The 17,875-nt window shown below is 36.2% G+C and overlaps 2 protein-coding genes across 3 annotated transcripts in view, besides 1 other annotated feature; one reads left to right on the forward strand and one right to left on the reverse strand.

Moving 5' to 3' along the window:
* Positions 1–17,875, reverse strand: part of MRE11 (MRE11 double strand break repair nuclease) — a 96,843-nt gene that overhangs the window by 78,334 nt on the left and 634 nt on the right. The gene's annotated exons all lie outside the window — the stretch shown is intronic.
* On the forward strand, positions 81–5,675 carry ANKRD49 (ankyrin repeat domain 49). 2 transcript variants are annotated; one of them, XM_017017941.2, is made up of 3 exons: positions 81–267; positions 2,701–3,048; positions 4,168–5,675. In XM_017017941.2, exons 2-3 carry the CDS (start codon positions 2,791–2,793, stop codon positions 4,627–4,629), a joined length of 720 nt encoding a protein of 239 aa, XP_016873430.1. In that variant the 5' UTR covers positions 81–267; positions 2,701–2,790; the 3' UTR covers positions 4,630–5,675. The 2 variants fall into 2 exon arrangements, with proteins under 2 accessions (XP_016873430.1, NP_060174.2); NM_017704.3 differs by having other exon boundaries at positions 81–132.
* Positions 291–380: an enhancer, noted in NCBI's record as "active region_5403". NCBI's record gives its function as "activates an Ori minimal core promoter by ATAC-STARR-seq in GM12878 lymphoblastoid cells {active_cell/tissue: GM12878}" and the evidence as "EXISTENCE:reporter gene assay evidence [ECO:0000049][PMID:35858748]".

Below are 17,875 nucleotides of genomic sequence, written 5' to 3' on the forward strand. Positions count from 1 at the left end.
TGGCTACCGCACGCAGTGAGGGGGCGGGGAAAGTAGCGGCGAGGCCCCGCCCTCACGCAGGAGCCAATCCTGAGCAGGCTAGGAGACGAACCCGGAAGTGAGATGCAAGGCGGCGATTTTCCCTTCTGTCAGGTGGGTTGTTATTCCCTGTCCCGGACCTCGCTTTTTGATGGACCGGCGCCATCTAAGAACTCCTGAGCCCGTGGGGGTGGGTAGCCTGTGGACACAGGCCGAGCCCTGCAGGTCAGGCCGCTTCGTGGTCCCCAGGTAGGACCGAAGCCGCTTCTCCGCTCTTGGCTGTTTGGAAGGCCGCAGGCGGAGCTCACGGGCCTGTGAGCTCCCGGCTGGTGGCAGAGTGCCGGAGCTGGATCCCCTCTCCCTCCCTCCCAGTCGCCAGACCCTCTACAGGTGTCGCCCCTAGGTCCTTGAGTTCAGCACATCTGCACTGCTTTGTGCTGAGAGCAGTAAGATGTATAGTGCAGCGAAAAATAATGTAGAACTTTTGAATTAGAACGTCTGCCCTTTCAGTTCCATTGAAGGGTCCTTGATCTAGGGCAAGTTGTTTTAATCTATCTGAACCTCCTTCACCAGTAAGGTTTATAGCCCCGCCTATCACTGAGTTGTTTGTAAGGAGTTGACATAGTTCGGATCTCTCTCAAAATAGGATATGCCCTTTAAGTTAGGAAACATACCCTGACATTCCTGATGGAATATCAGGAATATCATCATCAAGTCATCAGTTTTGTTTCTTAACTGTAAGTCGGGTAGATGCGCCTAGGCTTGGCTTTTTAAACTAAATATACCAGTAAAATTTTGTACATAATTTTTTGTATCTGGATCTGTAAACTCAAAATTTATATAAAGGGAGTTTTTATTGAAAGGAAAAGCATGTTGGGGGAGAGGGTAAGATCTGTGGTATAAGGTTACTATATTTGATATAATTACAAGTGAACTTTTATTTATTAGCATCTGTTAAGTGTTTAATGAATTGATGTATGGTCATTTTTGTGTTGCAAGGTTCAGGAATTAGTTTGAGAATCAAAGAAAAAGTGGAAGCTCCAGGAGAATTAATAAAACACAGAGCAATTCTGATTGGATATCTCTGATTCCAAGGGTGTCTCTGATTGGGTGACTGAAAAGCCGGATTGGCCTTAGGAATACTTTAGTAAAATTCTTACATTTTACAATAAAGTAACAGGACCAGAAAAGTTACTGGACATGAGTAATACATTTAAACTTGAGTTTAGTGCTATTGCCACTAGTAATAAAGTTTAATACCACATTAAGATTGTATACTGTTAAACTTGTGAGATTAGGTATCAAGAAATCAGTATCTTGGGGTTATGCCTAACTCTGGAACTTCTCAGAATCCATTCCAGGCAAAATCAAGTGACAAGACTTTAATTAAATGTAATGCTACACATACTTCTTAATGCCTTCTATAGACAAGTAGGAGATAAATATAAGTTAAATGTGGTCCTTATCTTTCAGCTTATAATCTTTTAAGGGGCTAAAACAAGAACAAAGTTAGAGGTGAAATGTAGCACCAAAAAAAGTAGAAAGCAGAAAGCGATCTAAATGAGAGGATCAAGAAAGAATGAAAGAGATAACATCAGAGAAGAGCCTTGAAAGACTGATTATATTTCAACAAATAGAGTTGAGAGGCTGGGAATTCGTATTTGTAAATTATCTATTGGTTATTCTCCTTTTCTTTAATTGATTAAGGTTTATATGTTGTGTAACCCTTTAAGCTGATATTGGTTTAAAAATTAATATGGCAGCTTAGCAGAATAAACATCAGTTCCTTCAGGAAGCCTTCTTTAATCCCTTAGGACTAGGGGAATTATGAACCTCCTGTATACTCATGGTTTCTAGACAAGGTCTTGTAGTAGTACTTATCATGTTGTCTTTGCCAGACACATGATGTCTTTGCCAGTCACCTACACTAGAGTAAGCTTCCTGAGGTGAAGACATGGATCTTGCTCATTATTGAATCCCAGTACCCAGAAGTTGGCACATACCAGACATTCTATTCATATTAGTTGAATGAAGGAATGAATGACAGCCAAAATTCAGTTGAAAACAAGGACCCAACTAAGAACTATAGTTGCCTATCAATAAACAGGACTACTTTTTAAAGCAGTGAATTTTCCTAGGCCTGAAATTATCAAAGTAGAAATAGGATAATTAGTGTAGATGCTGTGATAAAGATATATGTACCGATGACAGATTGGAACAGATGTCCTTTTGGGGGCTATTCCATCTTCAAGAATCCCTGATTCTTCGAAATAGTATTTTTAGGAATTAGAAGTTTTTATTTCTGCTCTATATTATCTGTGTGTCTAGTTTATAAAAATCTTGAATGCACCTGTCTTCATTGTATTAGTTATACTTCAAAACCTTTAAGCATTCATCACTGTTAGCATAACACCATCATACCTAAACCAGTAGATTAAAAATAATAGTTATAATAATATAATTGACTTAGAAGAAAACAACAAAAGTAAGAAGCATTAGACCACTATTAGATCATAGTTTGTTGTTTTCTGTCAGCATCAGTATTTAGTGTATGTAAGGGATATCATGAGAAAAACAAGAGTTTAGACAGGGTTTAATTGTATATGTTTGCAAGACTTATCTATGCAGTTGATAAAGCCTGAATTATTGTTTTACTAATAACTTTTGTATTTGTGTTTTCAGATCTTGATGAACAAAGCAGTCATAATTCATCTCTAGAAAGATTTATATCCTGGCATTTGAAATGCTTTTTATTTAGAATAGTAGTAAAAAATGGAAAAAGAAAAAGGAAATGATGATGGAATACCAGACCAAGAGAATTCCTTGGATTTTTCTGAACACTTTAACCAACTTGAATTGTTGGAAACACATGGACACCTTATTCCTACTGGTACTCAAAGTCTTTGGGTAGGCAATTCTGATGAAGATGAGGAGCAAGATGACAAAAATGAAGAGTGGTATCGATTGCAAGAAAAAAAAATGGAAAAAGACCCAAGCAGATTGCTTCTTTGGGCTGCTGAAAAAAATCGGGTAAAAAAAAAAATTACAGAGGGAAGTGTGACAGTAGGAAAAGCACTGGGTTCAAGCCAGAAGACCTGCCTTTACTGTTATGGCCATCATACCTATCTCTTGATTGTGAGGACCAAATGAGACAATGTACATGAAAGCACATATTAAGCTGCAAAGTGTCATGCTAGGTATTATTTGGGGGTTTAAGGATAATTATCTATAAAGATAGCAAGCAATCATCTATATTTTAAAATCATTTATATAAAGTCATTAGGATCATTTAGGAAAGAGAGGATGGAAACTAACATTTATTAAAAACTAACTATACCAGGTACCTTATTACATTATTTTATTTAATCATCATGTATCCCTATAAGTAATATTCTTCTCTTTTATAGAGTAAGAAATTGAGATTCAGGAATATTAATTTGCCCAGGATCATCGAAGTGGAATGAACATCAAAAGCCTATTCCCTCTGCTTGGCCACTTCCACCTCATTTTACTAAGTTTCCCCATGTCTGTGTTAGTAAACTAATAACTAAAAGGGTCTCGCATTTTAAATAGCTTTTTAACCCAAGAGCATGCCACATTTAACCAGAGGCCCATAGAACAAACTGAAAATTACAACCTAAAAGGTTGTTTCTAAGGTTGTATTGAGAAGGAATTGAGCTCTTGAATCCCTAGAATTCCTTATTAATACTTTATTCTTCTGTTAAAAGTTTTATTTTTAAAAGTTTCATACAGTGTGTATATTGGTGTGATAATCCTACAGAAAAATCAAGCAGTTATGTTTTCTTCACAGATAACACATAAAATATTAAACAGAAAGCCTATGTTATTCATTGGACTGAAGCTTTTATGCAATAAACCTTAGTTGGACCAGGAGTAAATGTATGGTTTGATATTCAGAGAATCTCATTCTTAGAAGCAACAAAGTGTAGTTAACACTAACTTGTTCATTCTTAAATCAGTAGTCCTCTCCTCCCCAAAAAGAGATCTTAAATTATTTTCATTTTAAAGTCATCTACTAACAAGTAAGTTTTTATTCAACTTAATTAAATCTAACACCACAAGACAATTTTGTTTTAGTTATTGTTTTGGTTTGAGTTGAGTTGAAAGATTTCTTTTTTTTCTTCTCAGCTTACCACAGTGCGGAGACTCCTTTCTGAAAAGGCCACTCACGTGAACACTAGGGATGAAGATGAGTATACCCCTCTTCATCGAGCAGCCTACAGTGGACACTTAGATATTGTTCAGGAGCTCATTGCACAGGGGGCCGATGTTCATGCAGTGACTGTGGATGGCTGGACGCCCCTGCACAGTGCTTGTAAGTGGAATAATACCAGAGTGGCTTCTTTCTTACTGCAGCATGATGCAGATATCAATGCCCAAACAAAAGGCCTCTTGACCCCCTTGCATCTTGCTGCTGGGAACAGAGACAGCAAGGATACCCTAGAACTCCTCCTGATGAACCGTTACGTCAAACCAGGGCTGAAAAACAACTTGGAAGAAACTGCATTTGATATTGCCAGGAGGACAAGTATCTATCACTACCTCTTTGAAATTGTGGAAGGCTGTACAAATTCTTCACCTCAGTCTTAACAATTCTAGTAATTTTCCTAAGTTTCTAAATACCAGTGCCTCCTGTGTGTGAGATGTATTCCCATAATCAAAGTTGACGTCAAACATCTTACTACAAAAATTCAGTGACATTCATTATAACATTCTTCCAAGTGAATTGCCTGACTTTGATGTCAAAATGTATTTGAAAGTAATTTGCATATATCTTTAATTATTTCTGTGGAGTTTGTGATTTTTTTATCAGAAATAATTTTAATGTGTGTATACTTAAAAACTTGACACGGGTTGTACAGAAACTGGTATTTTTGGTGCTGATACAAGAGAAATGTATTTTTAAATATCCCACATCCTGGATCTTTGTTGGGTATTTAGTATATTGACATATATTTTTATAAGGTGAGGTAACTCAGAACTTAATTTAAAAGTCTTAAATATTCTGATACAATTCAGCTGTCTTCTCTACCTTACCATAGCCAGTTGCTTTCATTTTAAACCAGAGCAAGTAACATATTAGTGACTTGAATCTTCATAAGTTAAAGTAAAAAACAGCAAAAAACCTAGATCTTTGTCTTTTAGAACACAGACCATTTTCAGGAAAGCAGTTAGCTAAGTGTTTAATTCATGAATATTGTATACTGCATCCCCTACCACAATTTACACAATCCTGTGGATAGTCCTACCTCACCCTGGTCAACCTACATGATCCTTAAGCTAATGGCGAATCACGATGACCTTGTAGACATGCACACAACTATACCTTTGTCCAACAGATCATAATATATCTGCTATCCAACTGGTTTTACCTGCCTAATCCTACTGATTTGGGCACTGCTTGTATAGTCTCTCAAGTTCACAGGAAATGTTGATTTTCTAAGGTCCTCATTTTTACAGAGTATACAGGCAAAGTGACAGGGGAAAAGGAATTAGTCTAAGAGTAAGGGGATGATTATTATATTGAGGCTAAAACCACAAAGTGGCTCAGGCTTTAAAAAAAAAACACTGTGGATAATGACAAAAAGCATAAGTAAAAATATTTGAGAAAAATAAAGTACAAGTTTTGAACAACACAAAAGGCATGAATTCATTTTTTACCTGTGTATGTCTTTCTTGGATCCAGAACATTATTCATCCAGCACGCACTTAGTTATTTAACATCTACTCACTCAGTCTCTCCAGCAGCAATTTTGCATTGTCTATCTAGCCCCCCTGTGATTGTTCCCAAAGTTTTGTCTTCTCAACACCACAACACTCCAGGGGAAGGGAACTAAACCAGTTGCTCTTTACTTCAGTTAAATTTTTAAGATGTCCACCAAGGCTTATCTCTTTCAAGCCATCCTACGTAACCCAGTCACCCTAGACTAAGTAATAATGTTATTTAATCAAAGATTAAATATTTATTTTTGCTTAGAACTTATTAGATCATCTCAGAAAAGTCAGAGATAATATATGAACTGAATCATCGTGACAACAGGATCTTGAGAGTTAGTGCTTTAGTTTATGTTGTGATCTCTTCCTAGGGAGATGCTTTGTGGCAGAGGTTGCTTTCTGTTTAATCTGGCCTAAGTTAGTGGCACCAAATGACAGATACAGCTGACAGGCAGTGATGATAGAATAAGACCTTATTTATCCAAGCAGACTGCTGAATGAGGTTGCTTAGCCTGAAAGTCACAGAGCTGATGGCTCCTTTCTCACTTGAGAATGGATTGTACCCATGATTCCATGTAAACTTTCCATTAAAGTATGGAGCCAAAGAAGTCTTGTTTCCAATAAGGACCTAAGATGTGTCTATTCCCTTGTTTTCAGACCTCAACACTCACTCACTGATGCTAGAGAGCAAACTCTACACATAAGACAAATCCCACCCCTGAGGGCAGAATTTGTATTGTCTGCTTCCTTTATACTTTCCAGAGCATTCACTAGACTGCTCTGTGCACAGAAGGCAGTCACTAATCGTGCTTTGAAAGGATTACTTCTACTTTCCAGTTTAGGCCGGCTAAATAGCTCAGTTTACAAACAGAATTTTCTCTAATCTTGGAAAGTCTATACAAAGACTTATTAAAAAATAAAATCTGAGTTTTTCATAACTAAGGGTTTAATTTTGATTAACATATGCTTGAGGAAGAGGTAATTTTTGTGACTGTTCAAGATTCATAGCGTCATTCTTAGGCCTAAAGTGGAACTAGTTGCCTTTGCTTTTATGAATCTTAAATATGCTTTTCCAGGGAGCCTTCCAACCCACAGCCTACCACAGTGGTGGGATTTAGAGTCTTTATACTACAATCTGAAGACATTTATTTGTATTATTTGACATCTATTATGTTATCTAACACTATGCTGGAAAATCATGATCAGAAGAAGCCCAGAGACTATACTGAGATTTATGTCCCATACCAAAATGAAATCTCTGGATCAACTCTTGATTCCTGATCAACACATACACCATCTTCACCCTACCTGCAATGGCTCTAGGAATTTATGCAACTGCCTACAAAATAATATCACCAAATCATTATGTCTTTGCTATAATTAGTTTATCATAAGATGCTCCAGTCCATCTGTAGGATTACTAGATGACCACTCAATTTGTTCAATATGAAATGCTTTCTCTAAAGGATATTTAAGGTCTATCTTTATTAAGTTCAGAAGAGAGTAAACCAAGAAGGATTAAGTGTAGCTGATTGATGTTTTAAATTCCTGGAAATTTCCCTTGGAAACTCCAAAATTTTACTTCTCAGAACCTAAGTGGAAATGATCTAAATCAGTGCCAACACATAGAAACATGGGCCTCATGTAATTTTATGTTTTTAGCATGACTATTTTAGATACCTCATATAAGAGGACTCATGCAATAAGGACAGAATTGCATTTTATGGCACACAAACATAGATAAGCAAAAATCCTAGCAGTTGAAAATCGTAAGAGCCATATTAAAAACAGGTGAAATTAATTTTATATATATATGACAATACATCCAAAATATGAGATATATATTTAAAATTTTTTGAGATGTTTTACTTTTTTTTGCAGTAAGTCTTCAAAATACAGGGTGTATTTTACAGCACATCTGGATTTAGTCACATTTCAAGTTCTCAGCTATGTTTGTCTAATGGCTACTCCATTGAAAGCACAGATCTACATGCCTGAAATCATTCCCTGGAGGCACAGAAGGATGGTTACACAGAGCATTAAACTCTGAGTGAGACAAACTGAGTTCAAATCCTCAGTGCCACCTGTGGGTCACTTTGGGCAAAAAAAAAAACCCCTCGGTTTTCTCATAGGTAAATCAGGGATAATATCTATCTTGTTGTAGGCTAGTTTGTTATTTAAATGTAAAAATCATATGGTGTTATTTATTTTGTCAATTTCTTTAATACTTTAAAAATAAATATCAATATGAAATACATCGAAATCATATTGTTTTTTTAAAAAGCTATGTGTTTATCAATGTCCTCCAGTCATCTTTTATGAATGAAATAGTCTCATCTGATCTTCATGAAAGTTCTTATATATATATAAGATGTGGTACACCAAACCTCTGTGACAATATTAATAGCTAACAACTGAGTGCTCACTGTGGGCCAACTATGCTGTATGTGCTTCACGTGTGTGATACCATGTGAGCCTCACAACAACTCTCTGAGATAATCATTGTATAAAAGGAAATCAGGTTTATAGAACTTACACGGATTGCCCATTGTCATGCCATGTGCGCATGATGGAGGTTTGTCTATCTGATTCTACCACCTTTCCTCTTCACCATACACTAGTATTTGATATGTATTTGTAAAGTTGATTAAAGAATGCATCATTTGGTGCATGTTTAGTGTATCTTCTTAAGTTCCCAGAAAGCTCATGTTCAAATGTCACAGCTTTTTACCTGTGGTGTTTTTGAATATTATCTGTATACCACCAGTTTGTCTATCATAATAACCAAAATTCCATTTTCTTTAATATTATTTTTATGTAGTTTATTTATAGTAGGGTTTGAGGACATAACAATTACTATCAGGAGCACAAGCAACTGCATTTGCTTTTAAAGCTGCAGTTTATATTTTTTGAATTTGGTTACTTGTATCTACTTTTAAATATGCTTGCCATTTATCCACATATGAAGTATATGTTGTACATAGGCTATAACTAAATTTATTTATTTATTTTTCAATTTTTGTTTTTTTTCTTTTTGAGACAGACTCTCACTGTTGTCCAGGCTAGAGTGCACTGGCATGATCTCAGCTCACTGCAACCTCTGCCTCCCAGGTTCCAGTGATTCTCATGCCTCAGCCTCCCAAGTAGTTGGGATTACAGGCGTGCGCTACCATGCCCAGCTAATTTTTTATGTTTTTAGTAGAGACTGGGTTTCACTATGTTGGCCAGGCTGGTCTCAAACTCCTGGCCTCAAGTAATCTGCTGGTCTCGACCTCCCAAAGTGCTGGGATTACAGACTTGAGCCACCATGCTTGGCCACTAAATCTATTAATTATATTCCCCTTCCATGTAAGATTCCATACTTATGTGCAAATTTCTTGTTATTGTGTGAAGAACACTTAACATGAGATCTGCCCTGTTAAAACTTTAGTTCATAGTATTTTTTTTATCTATAGGCACAACGCTTGTAGATCTCTAGAACTGCAGAGATTCTAGATTGTACAGCAGATCTCTAGAAATTATTCATCTCGTATAACTAAAACTTTATACTCATTGAATAACTACTTCCCGTTTACCCTTGCCCCAGATCCTGGCAGCCACCATTCTACTCTCTGTTTCTAGGAGCATGACTATTTTAGACACCTCATGTAAGAGAACTCATGCAATAAGGAGAGAATTGCATTTTATGGCACACGAACATAGATAAGCAAAAATCCTAGTAGTTGAAAATCATAAGAGCCAAAGCAATATTTAAAAAGAAAACACGGTGGCTCACACCATCCAACATTTTGGGAGGCCAAGGTGGGCAGATCACAAGATCAAGAGATCAAGACCATCCTGGCCAACATGGTGAAACCCTGTCTCTACTAAAAATACAAAAAAATTAGCTGGGCATGGTGGCACACCCCTGTAGTCCTAGCTACTCGGGAGGCTGAGGCAGGAGAATTGCTTTTGCTTGAAACCAGGAGGCGGAGGCTGCAGTGAGCCAAGATCGCGCCACTGCACTCCAGCCTAGGCAACAGAGTGAGACTCCGTGTCAAAAAAAAAAAAAGAAAGAAAACGTTAAAATCGGGATTTTTATAACCTAATTTTAAGACTAGCTATACTTGCAGTGAGCCGAGATCCCGCCACTGCACTCCAGCCTGGGCGACAGAGCGAGACTCCGTCTCAAAAAAAAAAAAAAAAAAAAAAAGACTAGCTATAAAACAACAGTATTGAGACAGTGTAGTATTGGTGGATGGACATGTGGATCCATAGAACAGAACAGAGTCTAGAAATAAATCCAGATATAGATAATTAATTTTTGACAAAGGTGCCAAGGAATTCAGTGGGACATTCTCTTAAACAAATGGTGCTGGAACAACTGAATATCTTCTTGGAAAAAACATGAACTCATTTATAGGCAGAAAGCAGTTCAGTGGTTTCTTGGTCACGGGGACAGAGGTTGGACTACAAAAGGGCAGGGAGAACCTTTTGGAGGTGATGGAAATATGCCGTAGCTTGATCGTGGTAATGATTTTGCAGGTGTACACAACTGTCAAAAGTCACTGGGTTTTAAAGAGTAATGCAGGGTTTTTGTACATAAGTTATATTTTTATGAAGTCGATTTTTAAAAATAGATATCCAGATATGACTAATTTTATTCTTTTATTATTTTCCATGGCAAGCATAAGATGACCTCATCCTCAAATTCTAGGGATATATCTTCAGGGGGGCCTGTTATTTAAAAAAATATGTTTCACCAATTCACTGGAATTTTAAAATTCCAAGTAACACAACCTTTATAATCAGAAGGACCAATTTCTCCATTAAATGACAGAATGGGAAACAAAATAATTGCTTTAAAATAATTAGTCCATTTGGCAGGATTCAAGAAATTTGAAAAGATGGTTAGTTACTATATAAGAAGGATTTGGTTGGCTTTTAATTTAAATCAGGACTGTTAGAACCTACAAGAGGATACCAAAGTGGTTTTAGCATCTACTTTTCCGAAGAAAAACGATAGCATTCAACATCCCATTGTTCATTCAGTTTTGCTATAAGACAAACTGAGATGATTTCTTGAGACCTGTTTTAGATCTATAGAATTAAACACAAGTAATATGAAGTAACTTATTTACTCTGGTAATATATTAAAACTTTTTATTTCTTTGATAAAGACTTCATTTTTTACACGAATGTGTAACTTTTTATAAGAAAACTTTAGTCTTGGGTTTTGTCTCCATCTAGTGGTCATGTTGGTCTTTTCCATTTACAGTCAGGCTTGGGTAAATGATGTATCGCCTATACTGACAGTGATCTCATAAGATTATAATGGAGCTAAAATTTCCTATCACCCAGTGATGTGGTAGCTGACATAATGTCATAGCACAACACATTACTCACATGTTCAAGGTGATGCTAAATGTAAACAAACCTACTGCACTGCCAGTCATGTTTACATACAACTACGTACAGTACACAACACTGGATAATGATAATAAACAACTATGTTACTGGTTTATGTATTTACTATAATATACTTCCTGTCATTATTTTAGGGTGTTCTTCTACTTATTAAAAAAAGTGAACTGTATAACAGTTTCAGGCAGGTCCTTCAGGGAGTATTCCAGAAGAAGGCATTATCATAGGAGATGACATAGGAATAACTCCATAATGTTATTGCCCCTGAACACCTCCCAGCAGGACAAGATGTGGAGGGGGAAGACAGTGATCGTGATGACCCTATTTTGGCCTTGACTAAGTATGTGTTTATGTCTTTGTTTTTAACAAAAAAGTTTAAAATTTAAAAATATATAAATAATGCATATTGAAAATACAAAAAAAGCTCATAGAATGAGGCTATAAAAATACTTTTGCATAGCTGTACAAGGTGTTTGCATTTTAAACTAAGTGTTATTACAAGATTTAAAATGTTTTTAAAAATTAAGTTTATAAAGTAAAAAAAGGACAGTAAGCTAAAGGTAATTTATTATTGAAGAAAGAAAAATATGTTTGCATAAATTTAGTGCAGCCTAAGTGAACAGTGTTGATAAAGTCTATAGTAGCGTTTGGTAATGTCTTAGGCCATCACATTTGCCCACCACTCACTCACTGACTCACTCAGAGCAACACCAAGTCCTTCAAGCTCCATTCATGAAGTACACACTCTACAGGTGTACCTTTTAAAGTCAACTATACCATATTTTTACCGTACCGTCTCTATGTTTAAATTTCTTAAGATACACAAATATTTCCCTTGTGTTACAATTGCCTACAGTATACAGTATAGTAACATGTTCTACAGGTTTGTAGCCTAGGAGCAATAGGCTATACCAAGTAGCCTAAGTGTGTAGTAGGCTGTGCCACCTAGCCACCTAGGTTTGTGTAAGTGCATTCTGATATTTGAACAACGATGAAATTGCCTAACAACACATTTCTCAAAACACACTCCCACCATTAAGCGACACATGACTGTAATTGAAATTTTAAAAGGATAACCCAACCATCCTGGATTTTTTTTCATTCTGTTTTTGTTGTTCATTTTCAGTTTTTTTTTTGGGTAAGGATTGAAAAACTTTTAAGTAGTATGCTTATTACCTGGGTGATGAAATAATTTGTACAGCAAACTCCTGCAACATGTAATTTTCCTATATAGCAAATGTACCCCTGAACCTAAAAAAAAGTTAAAAAGAGAAAAATGGAAACCACAGTGCATACCTAAAACAGTACCTTTTATACTTATTTGTGTCAGTAACTTCTTTCAAGAGAATATGCATTGGTATATAATTGAAGACACACATGTAACAATTGGAAACAAAAAAAATCAAAAGCCATTTAGAAAGAGAAAGAAGGAAATAAACCACCTAAGTCAATATAGTTATTAAAATTGATAAGATTATCTTTAAGGTTTTTGGTAATGAAGAAAAAAGAGGAAGACAGTAATTGCTTTTTTTGTTTTTTTTTTTTTGAGACAGGGTCTTGCTCTGTCATCAAGGCTAGAGTGCAGTGGTGCGATCATGACTCACTGCAGCCTTGAACTCCTGGACTCAACTGATCCTCCAGCCACTGCCTCCTGTGTAGCTAAGACTACAGTGCAAGCCACCACGCCGAGCTAATTTTTTAATTTTTCTTTTATTGAGAGAGTCTTGCTATGTTGACCAGGCTGGTTTTAAACTCCTGGCCTCAAGCGATCCTCCTGCCTTGGCCTCCAAAAGTGCTGGGATTATAGGTGTGAGCCACGGTGCCAGCCTTTTTTTATGTTTGTTTTGTGCATATTTTTTAATTTGATCAAATAAACCACATTTTTATGAGTAAAAATATTTTTAGACATTTTTTTCTAAATAAAATATTCTTAATTTTTGTATAATTTTATAGAACTATAGCATACACAAAGTAAAATTCAGAAATCTTGGTGAGTTCTTCAAAGTGAATAGGGTTATGTAACTATCACCCAGCTCAAGATCTAGAACATAATCAGCACCTCCAACAGCTACTTTGTGCTTCCACTCAGTGTTCCCTCAAAGGTAACTATAATCTAACTTTTATTTCCATCATTTAGTTTTGCCTACATAAATGTAATAACTTATTGTGTATATTTTTGCATTTGGTTTATTTCACTCAACATTACATCTATGAGATTTCTCCATTTCTGCATGTAGCAGGGTTTTGTTCTTTTTATTGATGTATTCCGTTATATGAATATGTAATAATTTATATATACATGATATTGTTAACTTTTGGGGGGATTTTGCATTGTTTCCACTTTGGGGATTTTATGAATAACGCTGCCATAAACATTCTAGTACATGGTTTTGGTGTACATACTATACATTTCAGTGCATATCTAGTAAAGCCTGCTGAGCCACAGGATATACTTATATTCCACTTTAGTAAAAACTGCCAAAACAGTTCTCCAAAGTAGTTCTACCAGTTTACACTCTTAGCAGCAGAAGTGAACGTTCCGATTGCTCCACACGCCCATGGCTCTTGTTACTGCCAGGTTTGTTGATTTTCATTTCATTTTTTTTTAATAGCCTTCCTAGTGGGCATGTAGTAATAGCTCATTGTAGTTTTAATTTGCATATTCCTGGTGACTAATGATGTGAAGCAATGTTTTTATGTGTGATGACTGACCACTTGGATCTTCTCTTTCATGAAGTGCTTCATCTTTCTCCATTTTCTTTCTGGGATGTGTGCACGTTTCCTATTTTTAGAAGTTCTTTATATATTCTGGATCCTAGTTATTTTTTGGATATATGCTCTCTCGGTCTGTGGCTTGCCTTTTCACACTCTTACTGGTGATTTTAATGAAGAGAATATCTTAATTTTATTTATTTATTTACTTTATAGAGACAGGGTCTTGTGCTGTTGCCCAGGCTGGAGTGCACTGGTGTGATCGTAGCTCAGTGCAGCCTCAAATTCTGCGGCTCAAGCAATTCTCCTGCCTCAGCCTCCCAAGTAGCTAGGACTACTAATTCATGTATTTGTTTTTGTAGAGAATCTTGCTATATTGCCCCAGGCTGTTCTCAGACTCCTGGGCTCAAGCCATCCTCCCGCCTCAGCCTCCTAAAGTGCTGGTATTACAGGCATGAGCTACAGCATCTGGCCTGAGAATATCTTAATTTTAACGACCTCTACTATATCTATTGCCTTCTTTTGATTAGTGCTTTTGGTTTCCTGTTTAAAAAGTAGTTGTCTACTCCAAAGGGTAGACATGAGGAAGACATCATGAAGGTTTTTTTCATTGTTATACTCTAGAAGCTTTTGTGTTTTACCTTTAGTGCTATTTTGAGTTGATATTTGCATTTGACATGCGGTAGGAGTCAAAGTTCATTTTCCTATATTAATATCCAATTTATCAATGCCACTTATTAAAAGGAACAGCCCCTCACACAAACACACACACACTACATTGCAGTGACACTTTTATCATTTATCTGGTGATCATATTTAGTTGGGTCTGTTTCTAGATTCTATTTTATTTCATTGAGCTATCTTTGCCCCAATACCACAGTTTTAATATTTTGGCTTTATCATAAGTCTTATTATGTGGTAGTGTAGATATTCCAACTTCTTTCTTATTTTTCAAAGTTGTTTTGACCAGTCTTGGCCCACTACATTTACCTTTTTTTTTTTTTTTCGAGACAGAGTCTTGCTCTTTCACCCAGGCTGGAGTGCAGTGGCACGATCTCGGCTCACTGCAACCTCTGCCTCCTGGATTCAAGCCATTCTCCTGCCTCAGCCTCCCCAGTAGCTGGGATTACAGGCACGCACCACCACACCCAGTTAATTTTTGTATTTTTAGTAGAGACGGGGTTTCACCATGTTGGCCAGGTTGGTCTCAAACTCTTGACCTCGTGATCCGCCCTCCTCAGCCTGCCAAAGTGCTACATTTACTTTCTAATTTTAGAATCCCCTTGCCAACATCTATTTTAAACAACCCTGCTGAGATTCATATTGAGATTACATGAAATTTCTAGATCTAGTTGAGGAAAATTAACATCATTGTAATATTCAGTGTTATAATTCTTGAATATACTGTAATACATTTCTGCATTTATTTAGGTATTACTTTTTCTTGATAACGTTTTAGAGTATTCAGTTGGAGTTCTCTCTTTTTAAAGATTTATCCTTAATGTATTTTTTTGGCTCTCAATGCTGTTATAAATGTTATTGTCTTTTACATTCCATTTTTAATTTTTTTTACTATATAAAAGTAACATTTATTTTTCTCTATTGACCATGTGTCCACTGCCCTTGATAAATTTATTAATTCCAATAGCTTACCTGTACATTCATTTGAATTTTCTTTTTTTTCTTTTTGAGATGGAGTCTTGCTCTGTTGCCAGGCTGGAGTGCAGTGATGCGATCTCAGCTCACTGCAACCTCTACCTCCCGGGTTCAAGTGATTCTCCTGCCTCAGCCTCCGGAGTAGCTGGGACTACAGGCACGTACCACCACGCCCAGCTAATTTTTGTATTTTTAGTAGAGACGGGTTTTCACCATGTTGGCCAGATGGTCTCGATCCCTTGACCTCATGATCCACTCGCCTCAGCCTCCCAAAGTGCTGGATTACAGGCGTGACCCACCTTGCCTGGCCTGAATTTTCTATGTATACAGCCATGTTGACAGCCAATAACAGTTTAATTTCTTCCTTTTTTATTTTTTTAATGTGGTAAGTTATACAGTATTGATTTTAAACAACCTTGCATTCCTGCAATGATCAAAACTTGATCGTGATGTATGTATTATCCATTTTTTAACACGCTACATTTGGGTTATATTTGCTAATATTTTATTTAATATCTGAATTGATCTTCTTGAGAGATATTGACCTATAATTTTCCTTTTTAGTAATGTTCTTTCAGATTTTGGTATAAAGATGAGTTGGGAAGTGTTAACATTTTTTTTTAATTCCTGCAAGAGGTTAGACAGAACTGGTGTTATTTCATTCTTAAATGTTTGGAAGATACCAGTGAGGCTTTTTCTTTGTGGTATGTGTTTTAATTTTAAATTCCATATTTTTAGTAGTTATATTTTTATAACTACTTCTATTAAAGCTATATTTCTTCTTGTGTCTATTTTGGAAAGCTTTTAAGTAATTTCTCTATTTTATCTAAGTTGTCAAATTTACTAGCATCAAATTATTCAAAATATCTTCCTATCTTTTTAATGCCTGTAAGATCTTTAGGTATAGATTTACCATTTCTGATATTGGTGAAACTAATCTTAAAGAAGTTTATTCTGTGAGAACTAACAAATGACAGTTGACAGAATGAACAGCATCTTTAAAAATAGTTTCACTTAAAATTCTGAAATATTTCTTATTTGACTTTTTTCCCACTGCTTCTTGATAAAAACTAAGAACATAATGTTAAAATAGCATCATGAGTCAATCAAATGAAATCTAGGTGTTTTTGCTTTCAAATTATATAAACCCATATTAGGTAAGGATATAGTGAATATAAGTCATTTAGAATAACTTTTTGGAAATTATTTCTGCCATTTGGACTTCTGATAGGTGAGTTGCCATAATTCACCTATCAGAACTCATGGTGAGTTGCCATAACTCACCCATCAAATTATTTCAGCCATATGGACTTCTGATAGCCGAAGGGCTTAGCAAAAGCCAAGGCATGTTGGCAGTAACATAGCTGGGTGAGAATGGCGATGAATTCACTCCAAACATGTTAGGTAAAAGTTATACACACACGTACAAACATGTCAACAACTCTGTTCAAATCAAATCTTAGGCAGAATGTGAGCTCAACTACATAAGGGCAGGGATTTTTGTATGTTTTGTTCATGGCTGCATCCTTAGCACATATAATAGCTCCTGACACAAAGCAGTCATTCAATGAATATGTATTAAATGAATGAGGAGTGCCTGAACTGCCTGGAGAAACACTGTGGGTACTGGAGAGCAGTTTGAAATTCAAACTCATGTTAAGAAAAATCTCTCAGAAAATAGTGCAAAAATACAGAGATATAAAAAAGGAACGCAACCTTTCCACACAACCTTTTAATTGCCTCTCGCTCTCTCTCTATATATATAGATAGATATAGATAGATATCTCTCTACAGAGAGAAAGAAAGAGAGAGCGATCTCCTGCTTTTGCTATGTGAGCTGCCTGTTCCTCCTTTGCCTTCCACCATGATTGTAAGTTTCCGGAGGCTTCACCAGAAGCCAAGCAGATGCCAGCATCATGCTTCCTGTAAAGCCTGAAGAACTGTGAGCCAACTAAACCTTTTTTCTTTATAAATTACCCAGTTTCAGGTATATAGCAATGCAAGACTAGCCTAATACAATTGTCATAGTAATGTAAACAAATATTACTCTAGCCAAAATTTCAATTTATCTATAATGGGAGTATAAAGGAGCAATAAGTATATGTGACACAGGGAGTATGAAAGAGAGAGAAATCTCGTCTTTCATCGTAGGAAATCAACATGATATCTAAAATTGAAAAACATAAAAAGCAGCAATATAAGGATTTGGTATTAAAAGTGTTTGGCTCTGGGGTACAGTGGAGACAGAAGAGGTCTCCTATATTTGGTTGCAAGCCTTGTAGAACGATTTAATACTATAAAACAATGCACATTCAACTTCCATAAAATTAACACCACAACGTAATCCATT

The sequence above is a fragment of the Homo sapiens genome, chromosome 11 (assembly GCF_000001405.40).
Source record: "Homo sapiens chromosome 11, GRCh38.p14 Primary Assembly".
NCBI lineage: Eukaryota > Metazoa > Chordata > Mammalia > Primates > Hominidae > Homo > Homo sapiens.